We start from the raw sequence: 21,668 nt of genomic DNA, 5'->3' as shown, positions 1-21,668 counted from the left end.
AGAACCCTACCTACCCCTAAAGCTTTGACAAAAATTGGTTTGGTCTATGCATATGGTCTTGTCCTCTTTTCTAAACCTCAGTGAATTAAGAAAAAAGAGTAGTATACCCACATAGAGACTTCTACTTTTGGTTTTCCCAAATGATTACCATAATATGATATAATTCTAATCAAGTTACTGTTAAGTAACTTGTTTTTGCAAAATGAGTTGGTAATGAGCTCTCATTTTTCTATCTTCTGTTAATGAAGTATAGTGAGCCCCCAAATGAATCATCTTAGGAATATTTATATACTGGTTAGAAATGTAAAACATATTTTTTAATAAATATTATAAGTAGCAGGTAGGTCTATAATCAGTTACCAGATGCTCATAAGCAGTAATACAGCAACTTGGTATTAATACTGGAAAAACCTGTTGCAGGAGAGATTTCCTCTCTGTTTCTGCCTGTGATAAAAGTGCATACGGTTTGGAGTCACAGAGATTGCTTTAAAGAATAAAATTCCCAACAGCATTAGCAGAATACAGAAACTAGGAGTTTCTTTGGCTGTATGTACTAGCCAAACAAATCCTATGAGAAGTGGTCATTCATATCTGAGATAATCTTAAGTACAAGTTTTAATAAAAGGAAGGCTGACCAAAAACAGTTTTATACCCCAGCCTACCATTCTAAAGTATAATTTGTCTTAAAAATAATCTCAAATATAATAATTTAAAAGACTAAACTATTAATACAATGTTTGAACATAGATTTACCAAGCAAGGCAGAATCAGGTTAGTGTACTAGGTATCTCTTTTCAGGTTTTAACTTTATGGAATTACCCTAAATGTATTAAGTATTTATTCTAGTTAATTCCACATCACTCCTCTCACAATGTATTAGTTAACAGTCAATGTTTCATGTCATATGGAAAATAATTAATACAAATATAATTTCTGCATGGTTAAAAACAACAGACTTACTTAAATTCTGACACGTTTTGCTTGCCTTTAGCTAAGAAGTTTTAACAAAACTACATTTTTGGTACATGATTCAGTACATGATTCACTACTTTCCTACCCGTTCAATTCTTTCTCTGGTCTTTTCAGTTCCTACAGGAACTTCATGAATATGATACTGACAGCAAAGGTAACTCATTACAGGATCAGGTGCATCAAATAATTCTCTCAAATAAGAGAAAAATCCGTATTGTCTGAAAGGAAAAGTATTGATTAGATTTTTCTTCTTAAAATATCATTAAAAAAATCTGGGAGTTGATAAGCCACCAATAAACAATAAGTAAAACATACATTATTTCAACAATGACACAGGACAAGTCTTTTTTCTTTTATATTTTAAAATCACATATGACTTATTCACTTACCAGAAAAGCTTAAGCTTTTTATGATTACAAACTACTCTTTTTAAATTTCTTCTATTATGTTTAGAATGCTTACTTATATTCCAAATTAAGATATTTACTTATAATTATTTTATAATTAACATTTTTTACATTTAGTCCTTTTGGAAATTGTTTCTGCATTATGAAGGGATAATTTATCATTTCATTTTCCCAATAACTAACCCACTACTTTAGCATCTTTTATTAAATAGTTCAATATTATTCTGCAGACTTGAAACATCACATCGCATCACACTCACTGTGTGCTAACTATATCATGGTCCTGTGCCTAAATTTTTCCTTATATTCGACTTAAGAGATCTTAAAAGGAAATAATACAGCTTGTAATAGCTTATTTATGTAACAATAAATGTTGAATAATTCAATATTTAAATAAATCTTAGTATTTTCAAGACTTACTTAAGTTCATTCAAAGATCTTGAAGGTGCTTTGTCTGCATATGAACTCTTGGGAGCAATAACAGCATTTACTCTTAATTTTTTATTGTCACGAACCTGAATATAGGGAAAAGAAAATATTATTTTAATTACCATATATTCTCTACTGAAATGATTTATAGTTACCATACTCCTACTGGCATTCGTGGGATGGATAAGAAACTCGAACACGGCATATTAGATGTTACTTAGTATAAATTTTTTTACTGTGATAATACTGTAGTTATGTGTTTTTATAAAAAGAGTCCACTTCTTTTAGAGATACATACCAAAATATTTTCAGGTGAAACAGAATGTCTGGGAATTACTTCAAAATGATACAGAAGGGAGATAGTTATGCTTACATTATTGGCAGATTATCTTGTATTGGACTAACTTTTCTACAAACAATGATTGTAAACTCTGGCCAAAATTTTAAAAACAATTATCTTAAGGCACTGGAGATGGACAAAAGAAAGAAGTTGGAAGGGAGTTGACATCTGAAAGAATAGCACTAGGTGAGATTTGTGTTTATGTGGCTTGTGGCTTGGGGGCATTCCCCAATCTGGAGCATCAGGAGTGGGGAAAGAATTCTGGTAGAAAGCTGCAGTCTTTCTGGCTGGAGGGATCATAAGATGGAAGGATGGAGTTTGGGGTGACTAGAATGACTGTAAACTGAGAGGGTAAATTCTTGGAAGAAGGGAGCTGCAAAGTGAGAAGCCTCAAAATCTGCATATAAACGCCCATCTAAATCCTTGGCTGCCCCATGAACTATGAGTGCACAGGAAAATTCCAGGGGATTGGAGGAAAGCAACAAGTGGAAGGCTAAAACTAAAACAACAACAATCCCCACTGAATGGAGATTTCAGTTGCTGTCCATTGCTTGAGAGACAGAGTTTGGAGTTTAAATCCAGCTAAGTTAACTGCCTTCTAGTCTCTTTGGAAGAAGATAATTGATAATTGAATCCAGTCTCTACAATGTTATTACCCACGATTCCAGAATATAATAAAAAAATTACTGGCTGGGCACTGTGGCTTACACCTGTAATCGCAGCACTTTGGGAGGCCGAGACGGGCGGATCAACTGAGGTCAGGAGTTCAAGACCAGCCCGACCAACATGGTGAAAGCCCGTCTCTACTAAAAATACAAAAAAATTAGCTGGGTATGGTGTGGGGCTCCTGTAATCTCAGCTACTTGGGAGGTTGAGGCAGGAGAATTGCTTGAACTCAGGAGGCAGCGGTTGCAGTTAGCCAAGATCATGCCATTGCACTCCAGCCTGGGTGACAAGAGCGAAACTGTCTCAAAACAAAAACAAAAACAAAACAAAACAAAAAAAACAACTACTAAGCATAAGAATAAAATGCCACCATAGTCAAGAGAAAAAGCAACTAAGAGGAACTGATTCCACAAAGACCTAGATGTTAGAATTAGCAAAGAAGTTTAACGTAGCTATTATATATACACACGTTCAAGAAAACTATGGTTTATTACTATCAACAGGTGGAGAATCTCAGCAGACAGAATAAAGAGAATTAAATGAAAATTCTAGAACTAAAATATGCATTATCTGAAATGAAAAATTCACTGATGGGCTTACTGATGGAAGATCCCAAAACATTAAAAAGATAATATCACAAAAAACTTCATGCCAAAAACATGAATAACTTAGATGAATTGGAAAAATTTCTTAAAAACACAATTTGCCAAATTTAAAACAAGATGAAAAAGAAGCTGAAATAGCCTTTATATGTAGTAGAGAAACTCAATTTACTATAAAAATTCTAATGAAGAAAAGTCTATACTAAGATGTTTTCACTGATAAATTTGATAAAACAGTTAAGGAAGCAATAAACAGAAGGATGAAACACTTCCCAAGTCCTTTTATGATACCAACATAACTCTTATACCAAACTCTTGACAAAAACATTACAAAGAAGTCTATAAACCAATATCCCTCAGGAATACAAAAGCAAAAATCCTTTGTAAAATATTGGTAAACAGAATCCAGCAATGTATGAACAGTATACATGACCAAGCGGAGTTTATGCCAGGAATGCCAGACTGATGTAACAGTCAAAAATCAACTGATCTAACTTATCATATTAACAGAATAAAGTGCAAAACCCATATTATCATCTTAGTAGATGCAGGAAACCATCTGAAAAAACTTGACATCCATTTACAATAAAAATTCTCAGTAAAATAGGTAGATGAGGGAACTTCCTCAACCTAATAAAGAGCATTTGTGGAAAATCCACGCAAACCTCATACCTAATGATGAAACATTAAGTGCTTTCCTCCTAAGGCTGGAAACAAGTAAGGGTGTCCAATCTTGTCATTTGATATAGTTTGGCTCTGTGTTCCCACCCAAATCTCATTCCAAAGTACAATCCCCACTTGCTGAGGGAGGGACCTGGTGGGAGGTGACTGGATCATGGGGGCGGTTTCCCCCATGCTGTTTCGTGATAGTGAGTTCTCACACAATCTGATGGTTTAAAAGTCTGTTGCAGTTCCCTGCCCACTCTCTCTCTCCTGCTGCCATGTAAGATGTGCCTTACTTCTTCTTTGCCTTCCGCCATGATTGTATAAGCTTCCTGAGGCCTCCTCAGCCATGCAGAACTGTGAGTCAATTAAATCTCTTTTGCTTACAAATTACCTAGTCTCAGGAAGTTTTTTTTTTTTTTTTTTTTTTTTTTTTGAGACAGTGTCTCACTCTGTCACCCAGGCTGGAGTGCAGTGGCGCGATCTCAGCTCGTTGCAACCTCCGCCTCCCAGGTTCAAGAGATTCTCGTCTCAGCCTCTTGCATAGCTGGGATTACAGGTGTCCGCCACCATGCTAGGCTAATACAGGCAGTTCTTTATAGCAGTGTGAAAATGGACTAATACATCATTTCTCTTCAACATTGTCCTGGAGGTATGAGTAAATGTAATAATGCACAAGAAAGAAAAGATTGGGAAAAAAAAGAAAGTAAAACGGCCTATCTGCAAAAGACAGGACTTTCTACATAGAAAGTCCTATGGACTCTACAAAGTAACTATAGGCATACCTCATTTTATTGTGCTTTGCTTTACTGACCTTCAAAGATACTGCATTAAAAAACATTTTTTTTTTTTTTTGGCTGGTCAAATGGTAGTGGGTAATCAGAAGTTACTAACATAGTGTCATTAAAGTTGGTATACAACCCCCCACTGCTAAATTTGACTGGTTTAAAAACAATTTTTTAAAACACATTCAAGGTTTGCAGCAACCCTATGTCAAAAAAAGTCTAAAATGCCATTTTTCCAATAGCTTGTGCTCATCTCGTTGTGTCTCTGTGTCATATTTTGGTAATTCTCCCAACTTGTTTATTATTGTTGTATATGTTAGTGATCTATGATCTTTGATACTACCATTGTCATTGGAGTGCCACATACCACACCTAGGTAAGATAGTGAACTTAATCGATACATGCTGCATATGTTCTGACTGCTCCACTGACCATCTGTTCTCCAGTCACTCTCCCTCTCCTTGGGTGTCCCTATTCCCTGACACACGACAATAATGAAATCAGAACAATTAATAACCCTACAATAGCCTCTAAGTGTTCAGGTGAAAAGAAGAGTCACAGGTTTTTCACTTTAAATCAAAAGCTAAAAATAAAGCTTAGTGAGGAAGGCATGACAAAAGTTGAGCTAGGCTGAAAGCTAGCCAAGATGTGAATGCAAAGGAAGAGTTCTTGAAGGAAATTAGAAGTGCTACTCCAGTGTACACACAAATAAGAAAGCAAAATTACCTTATTGCTGATCTGAAGAAAGTTTTAGTGGTCTGAATAGATGATCAAAGCAGCCACAACATCCCTTTAAGCCAAATCCTAATCCAGAGCAAGCCCTAACTCTTTTCAATTATTTGATGGCTGAAAGAGGTGAGAGAAGAAAAGCTTGAAGCTAGCAGAGGTTGGTTCATCATGTTTAAGGGAAGAAGTCATTTCCATAACATAAAAGTGCAAGGTGAAACAGCAAATGCTGATGTAGAAGCTGCAGCAAGTTATCCAGAAGATCTAGCTAAGATCACTGATGAAGGTGGCTACACTAAATGACAGATTTTCAACGCAGAACCAACAGCCTTCTATTGGAAAAGAATGCCATCTAGGACTTTCATAACTAGAGAAAAGAAATCAATGACTGGATTCAAAACTTCAAAGGAAAGCTGACTCTTGTTAGGGATGAATGTATCTACTGACTTTTAAGTTGAAGCCAATGTTTATTTAACCATTCCAAAAAATCCTAGGGCCCTTTAGAATTATGCTAAATCTACTCTGCCCGTGCTCTGTAAGTTGAACAACAAAGCCTGGATGACAGCACATCTATTTACAGCATGGTTTACTGAGTATTTTAAGCCCACTGTTGAGACCTACTCCTCAGAAAAAAAAGACATCTGTCCAAATATTACTGCTCACTGACAATGTACCTAGTCACCCAAGAGCTCTGATGGAGATGTACATGCAGATTAATGTTGTTTTCATGCCTGCAAACACAACATCCAATCTGCAGCCCATGGATCAAGGAGTAATTTTGACTTTCAAGTCTTATCAAGAAACACATTTCATAACACTATGTATGGCTGCCACAGATAATGACTCCTCTGATGAATCTGGGCAAAGTAAACAAAAAGCCTTCTAAAAAAGATTCATCGGCCAGGTGTGGTGGCTTACACCTGTAATCCCAGCACTTTGGGAGGCTGAGGTGGGCAGATCACCTGAGGTCAGGAGTTTGAGGCCAGCCTGGCCAACATGGTGAAATGCCATCTCTACTAAAAAATGCAAAAATCAGCTGGGCATGGTGGCGCATACCTGTAATCCCAGCTACTCAGGAGGCTGAGGCAGAATTGCTTATACCCAGGAGGTGGAGGTTGCAGTGAGCCAAGATTGTGCCACTGCACTCCAGCCTGGGTAACAGAGCAAGACCCTGTCTCCCCCTAAAAAAGATTCATCATTCTACATGTCATTAAGAACATTTTTGATTCATGGGAGGAGGTCTCAAGATATCAACATTAACAGAAGTTTGAAAGAATTCCAGCCTTCAGGGAAGACTTTGAGAGGTTCGACTTCTGTGGAAGAAGTAATGGCAGATGTGGTGGAAAAGCAAGAGAACTAGAATTGGAAGTGGAGCCCAAAGATGTAACTGAATTGCTGCAATCTCATGATAAAACTTGAATGGAGGAGGAGTAGCTTCTTATGGATGAGCAAAGAAAATGGTTTCTTGAGATGGACCCTACTCCTGGTGAAGATGCTGGGAACACTGCTGAAATTACAACAAATGATTTAGAATATGACATAAATTTAGGTGATAAAGTAGAGGCAGGGTTTGAAAGGACCAACTCCAATTTTGAAAGAAGTTCTAGGCTGGGCGCGGTGGCTCATGCCTATAATTCCAGCACTTTTGCGAGGCCATTCCACTCTAGTCTGCGAGACAGAGGAAGACCCTGTCCCCAAAAAAAAAAAAAAAAAAAAAAAAAAAAAAAGGAAAAGGAAAAAGAAATTCTGCTATGGGTAAAATGCTATCATATGCTACAGAGAAATCTTTTGTGAAAGGAAGAGTTGATCAATGTGGTAAATTTTATTGTTGTCTTCTTTAAGAAACTGCCACTGCCACCCCAACCTTCAGCAACTACCACCTTGATCAGTCAGCAGCTATCAATATGGAAGCAAAATCCTCCACTACCAACAAGATTGAACTCACTGAAGGCTCACATGATTGTTCGTATTTTTTAGCAAGAAAGTGTTTTTAAAGTATGTACATTTTTTAGACATAATGCTATTCACACTTAATAGATATAAATAGTATAAACTTAACTTTTATATATACTGGGAAGCCAAAAAGTTTGTATGACTTGCTTTATGGCAATATTTGCTTTATAAATCTGTTATATTTCTTGTATGTCTGTACTAGAATTCAATGTAAATTCAATAGTGTCACAGGATATAAGGTCAATGTTTAAAAAAATCGATATGTCTACGTACTAGCAATGTACAACCAGAAAATGCATTTTAGAAATCCATTTATGATAGTGTAAAAAATATATTTTAAAATTAGACAGTGAAATACACATTTAACAAGAGATGTGTAAAACTTAATACAATGAAAAAGAAAAAATGTTGAGAGACATTAATAGAGGCACGGTGGGATAGAGGAATTTCATGGTAGGACAGATTAGTAATTCTTTTTTTTTTTTTTTTTTTTTTTTTTTTTGAGACAGAGTCTCTGTCGCCCAGGCTGGAGTGCAGTGGCGTGATCTTGGCTCACTGCAAGCTCTGCCTCCAGGGTTCATGTCATTCTCCTGCCTCAGCCTCTCCAAGTAGCTGGGACTACAGGCGCCCTGCCACCACGCCCGGCTAATTTTTTGTATTTTTAGTAGACACAGGGTTTCACCGTGGTCTCAAACTCCTGACCTCGTGATCCGCCCCCCTCAGCCTCCCAAAGTGCTGGGATTACGAGCGTGAGCCACCGCGCCCGGCCACAGATTAGTAATTCTTAAACTATTTTCAGAGGGTTCTAGGCTTGAACAAATTACTAAATATACTGATGGTAAGGGGAGCTATGTTTTTCACTAATACAGAAGAGAATTACAAATATGCAAAGGAGAAAGACTAGAAGGTACCCCAAAGCTGGACTGCAATTGTAAGTAGTAGTGTGAATTCATGGTGCACATATTATCTGGTCTCTAGATAAATATGGAAATAAATACAGACATAAGGGTTTGCATGTTAGGACTCAGAAGCAATGAGATACCAGCAGCAATGAACACACCTAGTATCCAGAGCTCGGTGTCTAAAAGAAAATAGGATTTTTGGTTAAAGGACTGATTGTAAGGCCCAAAAAGATACACTCAAGATGTGCCTGTAACATCTTACTATGGCAAAAAGAAAGAAGTGCTCAAAATACAATGGCAACATATCAAAATGACACAGGAGTCAACCTGAAAATGGTCTCACTGGCCAAATATGGGGCAATCTGAGCATTAAAATAGTAATGAATTGACCGGGCGTGGTGGTTCACGTCTGTAATCCCAGCACTTTGGGAGGCCAAGGCGGGCGGATCACTTGAGGTCAGGAGTTCGAGAGCAGCCTGGTCAACATGGTGAAACCCCGTCTCTACTAAAAATACAAAAAATTAGCCGGGCACGGTGGTGGACGCCTGTAATCCCAGCTACTCGAGAAGCTGAGGCAGGGGAATTGCTTGAACCTGGGAAGCGGAGGTTGCAGTGAGCCAAGAGCGTGCCATTGCACTCCAGCCTGGGCAACAACAAGAGCAAAACTCTGTCTCAAAAAAAAAAAGTAATGAATTAAAATACATAAAACAATTCTATGAATCTATACTGATACAACAAACAAATAAATGGAGGAGAAGAAAAAGCTCTTTCTTATAGGTAGAATGCTAACTAATAAACACAGAAGGAATGACAGAGCTAGAATCATTAATGGCTCTTAAACCTACTAGATTGGGTTTCATGAGGAACAGAATATCTGCAATCTCAAAGTATCTCCACACAAACAATTACAAAGAGAAAAAATAGTGCACACCACCCCACCCGGTTAATTTTTGTATGTGTAGCAGAGACAGGGTTTCACCACATTGGCCAGGCTGGTCTCGAACTTCTGACCTCAAGTGATCTGTCTGCCTTGGCCTCCTAAAGTGCTGGGATTAGAGGCATGAACCACCATGCCTGGCCTATTATTTGTTTTTAACTTTGTAATGATGTATTTCCTTTTAGAAGATTTTGTTTGAGTAACAAAAAGTGAGGTGATTGAAAGAAAAACAAGAAATAATACTATAGGTAGTACTCAGGTTTGGCAAAAATTATGATGTTGCACATAATAGTATGTAGAAATGGCAAAAATTGTGAAGATTTGTAATTTACTGAAGGATGAGAAATGGTACTCTAGTAGATACAATTACAGGAGAAGGTTATATAGAATAAATTTCACAATTTAAAATATACACACAAAAAGTCACAGATATAGGAGAAAGTTCTGGTTCTATCTGATGAGCAGCTATGAAAAATTGTTACAACACAAGAAAAAAGAATACAGGTCAAATGATCAGGAATCTATATTGTATCATCAATATATGGTTTAAATCCTTAGTGCAGAGGCAGAATGAGTTTTTGACACCAGGAAAAGTAACAGGCTAAGCTGGCCATTTGAAAAATAGAAATCATTTAATTACATCTGACTGCATGCCCTTTACAATGTATCATGTCTTAAAAGACGTGCAACCCAAGCAACTTGACTTCTCCACTGAGCTCTTTCATCAGATCAATAAATCACTGATTAGGCTTAAACAGCTCTAACAAACACAAATTTTTAACTTTTTGGAGTCCATTGTATAATTTTATACATCCAACCTTTTTATCCAGTCACCTTTATGTTCACATACCTTGCCAACTCCCAAACCAGAAGTAGGGCAATATAATAAAAGCCAAAGCAGGGTCAAGATTCTTTCCAAGCACTTGTGTACCAGAGAAACAGAGGACCACTTGAGCTGATTCAGAATCTCTCCTCACTTAGACCAATTAAAAAAATTCTTTAAACAAGGCATACAAAAAAAATCTAAACCTAACCTTTCCTTATAAGGCTTTTAAAGAAATAGAAGACATGCAAAAGGAGTAAGAAGTCTTACAGACAATACAACATATAGCTAACCGTATATATATAAGAATGTCATATATAGCTAATACATTATACTACATATTATGTAGGTTATATAACAATGTATTACGATAATGATGAGTTAATAAGTACTGCTATAAGTACCTTCACATTTATTAACTGACTTAATCCTTACAACCATCTTTTGAAGTAGATAATGTTACCCTTCATTTTATAGACAAGAAAACTGAAGCATAAAACTAAATTTAGGCAACTTGCCCAAGTCAGAAGCAATGCCAGAATTCAAATCCTGGCAGCCCAGCTACAAAGTATACATTCTTAACTACTAAGCTTTACTGTCTTTCGGTGGCTTAGATTCTTAGTGGCCTTTCTCTAGCCAGATACAGGGTTCTCATTCTTTTTAAAGACGTTTTATTTATATTAATAAGCAACAGTGTACTGATTTTCCTTTCAAAGTAAAACTGAGTTCATTCCAATACATTTTCAAAAAAAGGATGTCCAAGACCAAAGGTCCATCATTATGTTTTGTTTTCTTAAAACATGATAAAATTACTTACTCTTCACATTAATTTCAAATGATAATTTCAAAATGTTACAGATGGAATATTATGGGCTGGTTTCCTTTTATAAAGCAAATAAATTGACCCACAATGCCATAAATAGGAAAGAAATTAGCAAAACAGAGTGATTTTGCATGAGAGTGAACTGGTGGTAAAATTAGCTATCACATTTTGCTCTAGTGAATTTAAAACTTCAAGTGCTGAAAGTAAGTGTCAAGTGAATCAAAGTGTTGTGTTGGTTAGTACTTGCCTCTTTGAGGAAAACCTCCATATCTTCTTGACTTTCAAATACAAAGGCTCTTAAGTCATTTGATGGAATATGATTTTCAATATATTTGGCATTTTTATTATCTTTCATATTGATCTAAACAAACAAGCAAAAAAAGGTCGAATTTCATGAAACCCAACTGATTATTAAAACATGTTTATATTAAAATTGGATTTAATTAGATTGTAATACTTGAGAAAAAACAAGATAAAAAAAAAGAACTTGGTACCAAAGAGTTATTTTAAAACATCTAATCCATTACCCAGAAACAATCAATACAGTACATGGTTAAACAAAGGCCAAGATTTGAACAGTGCATATTGATTTTGATACTATCTAAGAAATAACTTTAGTTCCTTTCTAGTCAACTCATTGAAAATATTTCAAACAGTCTTAGATTGTGACTTGAGTGTAAACATTTCTTATCTTTCCCCACACTTTTCATATTTTCTTAATCTTCAAGAGAACTTCACAGATGGAATAACTAATAGGCACAAAAACACAAAGAACTTTAAACTTTATAAAACTAATGGGGAAAAAAAAAAACCTTGCTATGGCTTATTTGTAACTATTACAGCCCTCAAGAGAAGCCTGAAGTTTGCAACATCAGAACATAATCTTATTGATCTATTTTTACTTTTCTCTTTTTTATTTTTTTGAGACAGTCTCTCTCTGTCACTGAGGCTGGAGTGCAATGGCACGATCTCAGCTCACTGCAACCTCTGCCTCCCGGGTTCAAGCAATTCCTGCGCCTCAGCCTCCTGAGTAGCTGGGACTACAGGCATCTGTCACCATGCCCAGCTAATTTTTGTATTTTTAGTAGAGACAGGGTTTAATCATGTTGGCCAGGCTGGTCTCGAACTCCTGACCTCAAGTGATCGGCTTGCCTTGGCCTCCCAAAGTGCTAGGATTATAAGCATGAGTCACTGTGCCCGACCTATTGATCTATTTTAAAAACATTAACTGGGCCAGGCGTGGTAGCACTGATAACCCCAACACTTTGGGAGGCCAAGATGAGAGGATAACACTGGAAGCCAGAAGTTTGAGACCAGCCCAGGAAACAAAGTGAGACCCTGTCTCTACAATAATAATAATAATAAAAAATTAGCCAGGTGTGATGGCTCTACCTGGGAGGCTGAGGTGGGAATATCGCTTAAGCCCAGGAGTTTGAAGTTACAGTGAGGTATGATGGTGACACTGCACTCCATCCTGGGTGACAGAGTGAAACTGTCTCTAAAAAGTAAAATAAAGTAAAAATATGAATTAGACAATTCTGCAAGTGAGGCTCAATGCTATGGAAGATACTAAGACAAGCTAGGGAAAAAGCTACTTCTGGAAGTACATAATCTGTTATTTATTGCAGATGAATAACTATGTTGAAAGTAGAGCATGATAAAACTCCCATTAAGAGAAGCGTATAAATATAAAAAGTACTATCTAGGGAATTTTAGAGATCGATTATTTCCAAAACATGGAAATCAGCTTTCTTGAAAAAATAATAAAGGGGAGGTATTTATGTACTATAATCTATTACAAAGCAAACTAGCTAAGAGCTTGGGCTCTGAGGTCAGACAGACGTCCTTTCAAATCCTATGCTTGATCTTGCTCAAGTACTACCTAAATCTCAAAAGCTTTCATTACTTTCATCTGTAAGATGGACATAGTAAAACAGTTTATACCTCATAGAACTAAATGTGGATTAAGAGATAATATAATTAAAATAATAGTACAGTGCTTGTCGCATAAATGTTGGCCAATAGTGCTATTTTAAATTATAGAATACCATTCAGTATAGAAAAATGAGAAAACAGTTACACACAAAAATTAAAACCACATGAAAACCATCATCCAGGCATAAACGCTATGAACAATCAGCCTATTGTTTCGCAATTTGAGGGGGGAGGTACTAAATTACTTTATTGGAAGAAATGATACAAATAAAAGAAAACGTATGTGGATGTTTACGATAACTTATAGAAAGGGTAAAAGTAACCCCAAAATGACCACAGAAAGTCATCTTTTTAAAAAAAATATAATTATAGATAAGCCAGTCTAGGACTTAGCTCTCATGATCACGTTCTCCCAGACTGTATTGTTTTTTTTTTTCTATTTTTTGAGACAGGGTCTCACTCTGTGTTGCCCAGGCTGAGTGCAGTGGTGTGATCACGGCTCACTGCAGCCTCGACCTCCCAGGCTCAAGCAATCCTCTCACCTCAGCCTCCTGAGTTGCCAGGACTACAGGTGCATGCCACCATGCCCAGCTAATTTTTATTTTTGTAGAGACAGGATCTCACTATGTTGCCTAGGTTGGTATCAAACTCTTGGACTCAAGTGGTCCTCCCACATCAGCCTCCCAAAATGCTGGAATTATAGGCATGAGCCAACATGCCTGGCCCCAAGGTGTATTTGTTAGAAATATTCTGCCATGTCAGATTCCAAGGCCCCCAGAGTATATAAACTGGTTTACATGGCAATTCAATTCTTTGACGGATTTCACCTGCTCAGGAAGACTCAAGGAAGTCACACAAGTAGGGTCACTGGCCAGTTTATGTGGTTCCAGTAGTGACTTATTTACACTTTTTCCCAAGTGTAATACACATTCACAGTTTGGAGGTTTCCCTGATATCCTTAAGGAAGATTTATTTATTTGTTTGTTTATTTATTTATTCTTATAAGATGGAGTCTCATCCTGTCACCCAGGCTGGTGTGCAGTGGCGTGATCTTGGGTAACTGCAACCTCCACATCCCGGGTTCAAGCAATTCTCCAGCCTCAGCCTCCCAGTAGCTGGGACTAGAGGCACATGCCACGATGCCCAGCTAATTTATATATATATATATATTTTTTTTTCTTGAGACGGAGTCTAGCTCTGTCGCCAGGCTGGATTGTAGCAGTGTGATCTCAGCTCACTGCAACCTCCAACTCCTTGGCTCAAGCGATTCTCCTGCCTCAGCCTCCGAGTAGCTGGGATTACAGGCACGTGCCACCATGCCAAGCTAATTTTTATATTTTTAGTAGAGATGGGGTTTCACCATGTTGGCCAGGATGGTCTCAATCTTCTGACCTCGTTCCACCCCCTCAGTCTCTCAAAGTGCTGATTACAGGCATGAGCCACCGTGCCCAACCTATTTTTTCAGTAGAGACGAGGTTTCACCATGTTAGCCAGGCTGGTCTTGAACTCTTGATGTTAGCTGATCTGCCTACCTCGGCCTCCCAAAATGCTGGATTACAGGCGTGAGCCATGGTGCCCAACCCTTAAGGAAGATTTAGACATCTTGTTGGCTATGCAGGTTCCAGTTTCTTGGGATGTTCCCTCTGTTTGTGAGTTCAGGGAATAAAGTATTTGTCAAAGTCCTCCTAGAACTTCACAGTCATATCATCACAATCAAAGTAGCAAGATAAAGATAGGTAGATATAGGAGACGCAGCACTCTGTGATGATCTGGTGGTTGATGGCATCTTTCTGCTTTATGATTTTTTAAACAAAATTTTTCCATACATCCTATTCCATAACCTACTTTATGATTTACTAACATGTCATAAATTTATTTTTATATTAGTAAAAAGAGACCTACAGAAACATTTTAAGGGCTGCATAATATTCCATTATAAAGATATAAAGTAACTTATTTAACCAATCAGCATCTTCATAAATTTTCTTTTTTTGCTCCACCATTTTGCTATCATAAACACTACTGTGGGGAGTTCATATGTAAATCTTTGTACACTTCTCCAATTCTAGATTGGAATTGTTAAAAATAAATCATAGAAATAGACTACTAAATGACCATTTATATGACTAAAATTTTAAGTTTGCATATTGCTCACTTGTGTATGATGGTAGGGGCATTTCAACTAGACCTAGAAAGGTGAGTAAACTGCGTGGAAGATGTGAATGTAGGAAGGTGGCAGGAAAGGTGAAAGGTTAGTCTGAAAAGGGTAAAAAAGCAGAATATATCTCTTTATCTCAAAGATTCGAATGCAATTTAAAATGGAAATATATGCCAGCTATTAATCTGACTTGGTGATATATGCTACTATTAGAAAACCAAATGACAAGAGGAGACAAATCTAATACAGTTCTGAAGTATTATTCTGACACTGGCATTTTAGTAAAAATGTTAACAATTACACCTGCATTATAACTTTTATAAGGGTCACAATATTTTTTCTTATACTTTCTTTCAATCCTCATCAGACTAATCAAAACAATGCATCTAAAATAGAAATTCTCTTCTTGATCTAGCAAAAATATTCTAATAACACATATGTGAATAAGAGAATGTTATGAATATTAACTTTGCTAATTTAAGATATGGTAAAAAATTGAAAACTATATAAAATGATTTTTAATAAAGTATAACACAAACATGAGTTACAGAGAATAGAATTTTTCACGAATCCTGAAAGGATGTCTTCTTTTCTAAAGAAAAAAAATTATCTAGCAAAAATAATCCTTATGTAATCTTAGGATAACTTTAAGTTTGCTCTAACATATCATTACCAAAGAATGTTAGTTTTTTACTCTTTCATCCTTTTATGTGCCCAAAACTTACTATTTTAAACAGTCTGGATGGCAAACATCTTAGTAAATCCATGGCCACACTTCACTAGACGATTTATTAAATATAGCTTCACCTAATCTTGATGACCCGCAATCATCAACAAAAGCTATCAAAATTTTATGATGTCAATAAGGTATTGGTTTCACTTTCAAAATCCTAAGAATGCCCGTTCTTTGTAGCAGGTGATTTTCTTGCCTATTCTCTTAGTTTTTTTCCTTTAATCAACCTATTTACAGCAGCATTCTACCTCTTCAGCAGGGTTTTAATCTAATCCCTGCTACAATCTAGTAACAAGCGCCAAAAGGAACCAGCTAACCAAACTAATTTTCTACATGATTCTAGGTCAATAAGTTGCCAGTTTTATACCTCTTTCTAGAAAAAAGCACAGGTTTTATGACAGTTATTACCCTCATTGATCAGGGGACCTTTAAAAAGCTCATGTATAGATTCAGCAGTATGCCAGATGCCACAAGTCTGATAATGTAAAACCAGGGTAATATTGGGACTAAAATGTCTTAAAACAAAAATCTATGATTACAATAATAAAACCAATACTACCAAGATGAACAAAGTTTCTTACCGTGAGCATTATGGGCTCACAGACTCTTTGTTTAAATTTGTCTCTGTTATTTCTTAGCCATAAAACAGCATCATACGTGTCACGGAATCTCTGTCTTAGCTTATCTTCCTTCTGATTCATAAGATTGTCAAAACGTACAATATGATCGTCCACACCTAAAATTGTAAAACAAAACAAAGTCTTGTTTCTCTGAAAATTTTAATTAGTGAAATAATCTAATAATAACACAAAAGAATACCCTAGTTCTAAAGGTTACAAACACCACTCAGCAAGTAACTCCCATAGTGGAAAATATGTGACCTGAACAAATCTTTCTAAAATGTCCAAAAACCTGGGAAAACATAAGATCCTGAAACTATCAAATATAAAAAACAGGTAACCTACAAAAACAAACAAACAAACAAACAAACAAAAAAACCCACAAGGAAAACACTAGATTTCCTATCAAAAGACAAACAGCAATAGGCCTTCAAAATTCTGGAAGAAAAATTAATATTTTCATTCTAGAATTGTATATACAACAAAACTAAAAAAGGGGGGGGGATGATGAAATAAGAATATTTTAAAGGGTGCAAAGACTCTGAAGTTAATTCCTAAATATCTCTTCTTAGAAGTTTACCTGAAAATGTACTCCAACAAAATAAGGGCGTGATGTAAGAAAATGAGACATGGAATTCAGGAATAGGTTTATAACACAGAAAAGGCACGAGAGAAATTACAAATGATAACCATGCAGGAGGCCTCAAGAACAACCAGTTTAGATGGAAGGAGAAGGACAGAAGGCTATGGGACTCAGGAGAATGCCCGATAAGACAGCTTTTTTTTTCCCTCTTCAATTTAAGAAAATGCTTAAGCAAATTTAAAAAAAAAAATTAAAAGCTTTTTAAAAGCTATCAATGAAGTGAAATTTAATTATAATGCACAACTTGGTTCAGCTATGAGTAAGTTTAATAAACAATACTTAGTATTTCTAAACTTCTAGAATTAACCCATAAATAAAGCACATAAAACACTAAATGTTTTCGGCCTTGAAAATATAAAAACCGGAGTATAAATGAGAGAATTTAGAATGTGAGAAGGGAGGAAAGTAAAAAGCAAGGGTGCGAGGGAGTACTATTTGTAGCTTATGAAGTGTGGACTGAAGCAATACTGACAATTGTTAAATGACCAAAAAAGGATATGTATATTATTTATAATAATAAAAATCATTATTAATAATCCCATTTGAAGAATTTATAATAGAGATGTTTTATAAGGTAAAATCTACATCTAGAGTAAATACAAAAAGATAATGTCTAAAGTTGATTAATCAAGCAATAGTGAAATAAGAATATGATATATATGGAAGGATTACTAGAAAAAATCTTCTTAAAGAGTTAAAAGTGCTTACTCTTGGTTGGCTTTGGAGGTAAAAAAGGAGTTGTGCCACCCTTCTATCCTTCTAGTTCTTCTTCTTTTTTTTTTTTGTTAGCCATACACATCTAATACTTTGATAAACATATAAAATTTTTTTAAACTGATCTTAGTCATATATATTGAGCAGACAGAATATAAAATCCCTATCCAAATAATACCACAGATCTATTCACATGGTCTACAAAAAAAGAAAACCAAAGATGAAATTGGACAGGTTTCAAGGAACTAAGCTAACAGAAGGTTACAAAGGCTAGAATAAAGAGCTTAAATTTGATATGAGTAATAGTGAGTGACTTTGTAAAGAAAATAAAGCTAGGCATTTATAGAGAATTATTAAATCAAGTGCCATAATCTGATAGAAGACAGTGGTCAGCTATAATGGCAAATTACAGTACACGACAGATATAGATAATTAAGGTATGAAGTTGGAAGAACTGAGTTGAGCTTCCTCAAGAAGGCAACTTGAACATTTTATAGAAATAATTATAGAAGCAGAAGAAAGTTCATCAACAGAGATGTATCTACATTTTATAAACATTTCATTCTAACTTTATGAAACTTACTCTTTTTCTCCTTCTCTAGAGTTTCCCTCTCTCTTCGCTTATCAATTATTTCGCCTTCACATAATGCCTTTTCATCCTGAATCCGTCTCAGATCATTTGTAATGGCATCAATCTGGGGCTGAAGATTCTCGCAGTTTTCCGTGGTCTTTAGTTCATTTTGCAAATCCTCTATCATTTTGCGGGTATTACCTATTCTCCTCTGTCGGTCAAGCTCTTCATTTTGCTTTACTATTAAAGCCTGCTGAAGTTCCTCAATCTAATAAAACAAAAGTAGGTTAGTACTTGAGACTGTTTTCCTCTTGGTTTATAAGACTTCTGTAGTAATATAGTTTTTAACATGCAAACAATCTAACATAGGTGTTTTCCTCACTAAAAGGTGTCCTGTGAGAATTAGACTAGCACATTACCAGTTCTACCAGACTACCTGTATCTTTGTTTCACACATTCACTAATATATCTCAAATACTTTAAGTGGTGCTCACTATATAATTAACACTCATTAAATATTTCCTGAATAAACAAAATATTTTAAAAGCCCAACGGATTTCTAAATATTTACAGGAAGTACATACTATATGCCGTAAGACCAAAATTAAAACAGTCATGTGGCATATGTGATACAGTTTCCATAAATAATAAAAATGATAATAAAGATTACAAGTCACCCTATTACAGGTTGAATATCCCTAATCCAAAAATCCCAAATCCAAAATTCTCCAAAATCTGAAATTTTTTTAGTGCTGACATGACACCACAAATTACCCAGAACACATTATTTTTGCACTATATTAGTTGTATGTCAGTTTTTACTGTTAAGTATTTATGTGTGAGTAAGTATTTAAAAATGATTGTTTATGAGTAGCATATAAATAGAGAGTCAGGAATGATGGTGATGCCATCAACCACAGATCATCCACATGGGTGGCTGAGACAGCGACACCTTTATTTCCTGATGGTTCAACATACACAAACTTTGGTTCATACACAAAATTATTAAAAACATCATTTAAAATTACATTCAGGCTATGTGTATAAGGTGTATGTGAAATATAAATGAATTTTGTGTTTGGACTTGGGTTGTATTCTCAAGATACCTCATTATGTATATGCAAACATTCCAAAAATCTGAAAAACTCTGAAATCCAAACACTTCTGGTCCCAAGTATTTTGGATAGAGATACTCAACCTGTAATCTGAAACAGAAATAAACTATTTTCTTCCAATGGAAATATTTTCTACCAATACTTCAGACTAATATTGTGAGATTTTAATCATCAGTCTATATGCTTAGATTCCTTCACTTATATTCAGGGTAAATTACATTTTTATAACCAGCTATGTAACTTGCCACTTGATGTCAGTGAAATTTTTATCAAAACTATGGTCTACCTAAGACAGAGTAAAGATTTTCTTTAGGACACACACATATAAACAAATATACACTTATATGCCCAATTTACATTTTACAACTAGAATTTTGCATTAAAATAGATAAATTTAACACATCACATAATCTGTTTTAGCCAGCTTTATTTCCAAGTCAGATTTACTCCTCTCCTTCCTCATTATAAAAGTTATAATGCATTCATTACTGAAAATAGAGACTTATAACAAATAAAAATAACTTATAATCTTAATGTCCTTAAACTTTTACCTTTTTTTTTTTTTTGAGACAGAGTCTCACTCTGTTGCCCAGGCTGGAGTGCAGTGGTGCGATCTCGGTTCACTGCAACCTGGGTTCAAGTGATTCTTGTGTCTCAGCCTCCCAAGTAGCTGGGACCACAGGCGTGTGCCACCATGCCCGGTTAATTTTTGTATATTTAGTAGAACTGGGTTTTCACCATGTTGGCCAGGCTGGTCTCAAATTCCTGGCCTCAAGTGATCTGCCTGCCTCGGTAAACTTTTACGTTTTAATGCCTACTTATATCTGCCTGTAGAATATATATTCTTTTTACTAAATGGCATCACTAAAAATGCATTGAGAGCAGTTTCTCATTATCCCTCATGTCCTTGCAAAATAAATAAATAAATTTTAACATCTTGTGCATAATGTTCTCTGATATGGATATACCACATTTTATCCCATCTCCTGTTGAAATGCGGGTATTGATTTTTCCTTTCTAAAAATTTAGCTTTGGCAGTAACAAAATGCACATATCCCCAAATCCTCTCTCCTATAACCAAACATACAGAAGCAAGAGAAAATATATCTGAAAAAATTAAGATACATACATGTCACTGAACATTAACAATGTTCAATGGGCCTAAAAGCAGATAATAGGAAATTCAAGGGATTCAGGAAAATAAATGAGCATGTCACAGATGACAATATATAATTAAGAATCACTAAACACTAAAGACGATACAGAATTAAGATTCACTAACAAACAGAACGTCTGCAATCCCAGCAAAACAGGGACCACCAAACTACTGAAAATCACTGGCCTACCATATAAAGTTGTACCAAGAGAAGGTCTTTGTCTGATATTGACCTGAAAAACTGAAAAGCAGCCCAACGATCCCTTACCTTTCAATTAAGTTTTCTGAACACTAACTCATTTGTTACCTTCATCCAAGAAACTACCATGACTAATCACATTAGTCCTACTCTGACTAATATCCATGTTTAGCTCAGGTACAGTAAGTCTAAACCTCTTAAATCACCTACCTTCACTAGGATACTGTCTCCATACTGCTCTATATCTGTAATTTCTCTGAATGTTCCCTCTTCTTCTTTTTTTTTTTTTTTTTGAGACAGGGTCTCGCTCTGTCACCCAGGCTGGAGTGCAGTGGTGCAATCTCAGCTCACTGCAAGCTCCGCCTCCTGGGTTCAAGCCATTCTCCTGCCTCAGCCTCCCGAGTAGCTGGGACTACAGGCACCCGCCACCACGCCCGGCTAATTTTTTGTATTTTTTTTTTTAGTAGAGACAGGGTTTCACTGTGTTGGCCAGGATGGTCTCGATCTCCTGACCTCGTGATCCGCCCGCCTTGGCCTCCCGAAGTGCTGGGATTACAGGTGTGAGCCACCGCGCCCCGCCTGAATGTTCCCTCTTCTTGTTCTAATGGAAACTTGGCTATTTCTGGAAGACACCTGTTCTCCCCAGAGCCCTCTCAAGTGGTGACCTTTTCCTGCCATTATTTCAGGACATGGAGGTGGGGAGGGTATTCTCATTAATCCCCACTGTACTCCTTCCTCCTTTAATTGAGCCCCACTTTGGTTCCTCTGAAGATCTTGGGGTCAGACTTTGTCACTC

General features: G+C 36.1%; 1 protein-coding gene across 12 annotated transcripts in view; it reads right to left on the bottom strand.

The window, feature by feature from the left end:
- SMC5 (structural maintenance of chromosomes 5) overlaps positions 1 to 21,668 on the bottom strand; it is a 95,896-nt gene that overhangs the window by 38,238 nt on the left and 35,990 nt on the right. For 8 of the 12 annotated variants that reach the window (NM_015110.4, XM_005251837.3, XM_005251838.3 and 5 more), the window contains 5 exons: positions 18,415 to 18,670; positions 16,436 to 16,590; positions 11,276 to 11,389; positions 1,800 to 1,894; positions 1,058 to 1,190 (listed from right to left, as the gene is read on the bottom strand). In NM_015110.4, the coding sequence (NP_055925.2) occupies positions 1,058 to 1,190; positions 1,800 to 1,894; positions 11,276 to 11,389; positions 16,436 to 16,590; positions 18,415 to 18,670 (753 nt within the window). The remainder of the gene's footprint in view (positions 1 to 1,057; positions 1,191 to 1,799; positions 1,895 to 11,275; positions 11,390 to 16,435; positions 16,591 to 18,414; positions 18,671 to 21,668) is intronic. The other 4 variants (XM_005251839.3, XM_047423034.1, XM_047423035.1 and 1 more) reach the window with 1 other exon arrangement.

This window comes from Homo sapiens, chromosome 9, assembly GCF_000001405.40.
Source record: "Homo sapiens chromosome 9, GRCh38.p14 Primary Assembly".
Taxonomy (NCBI): Eukaryota; Metazoa; Chordata; class Mammalia; order Primates; family Hominidae; genus Homo; species Homo sapiens.
This window is presented reverse-complemented; position numbering and strand designations above follow the sequence as displayed.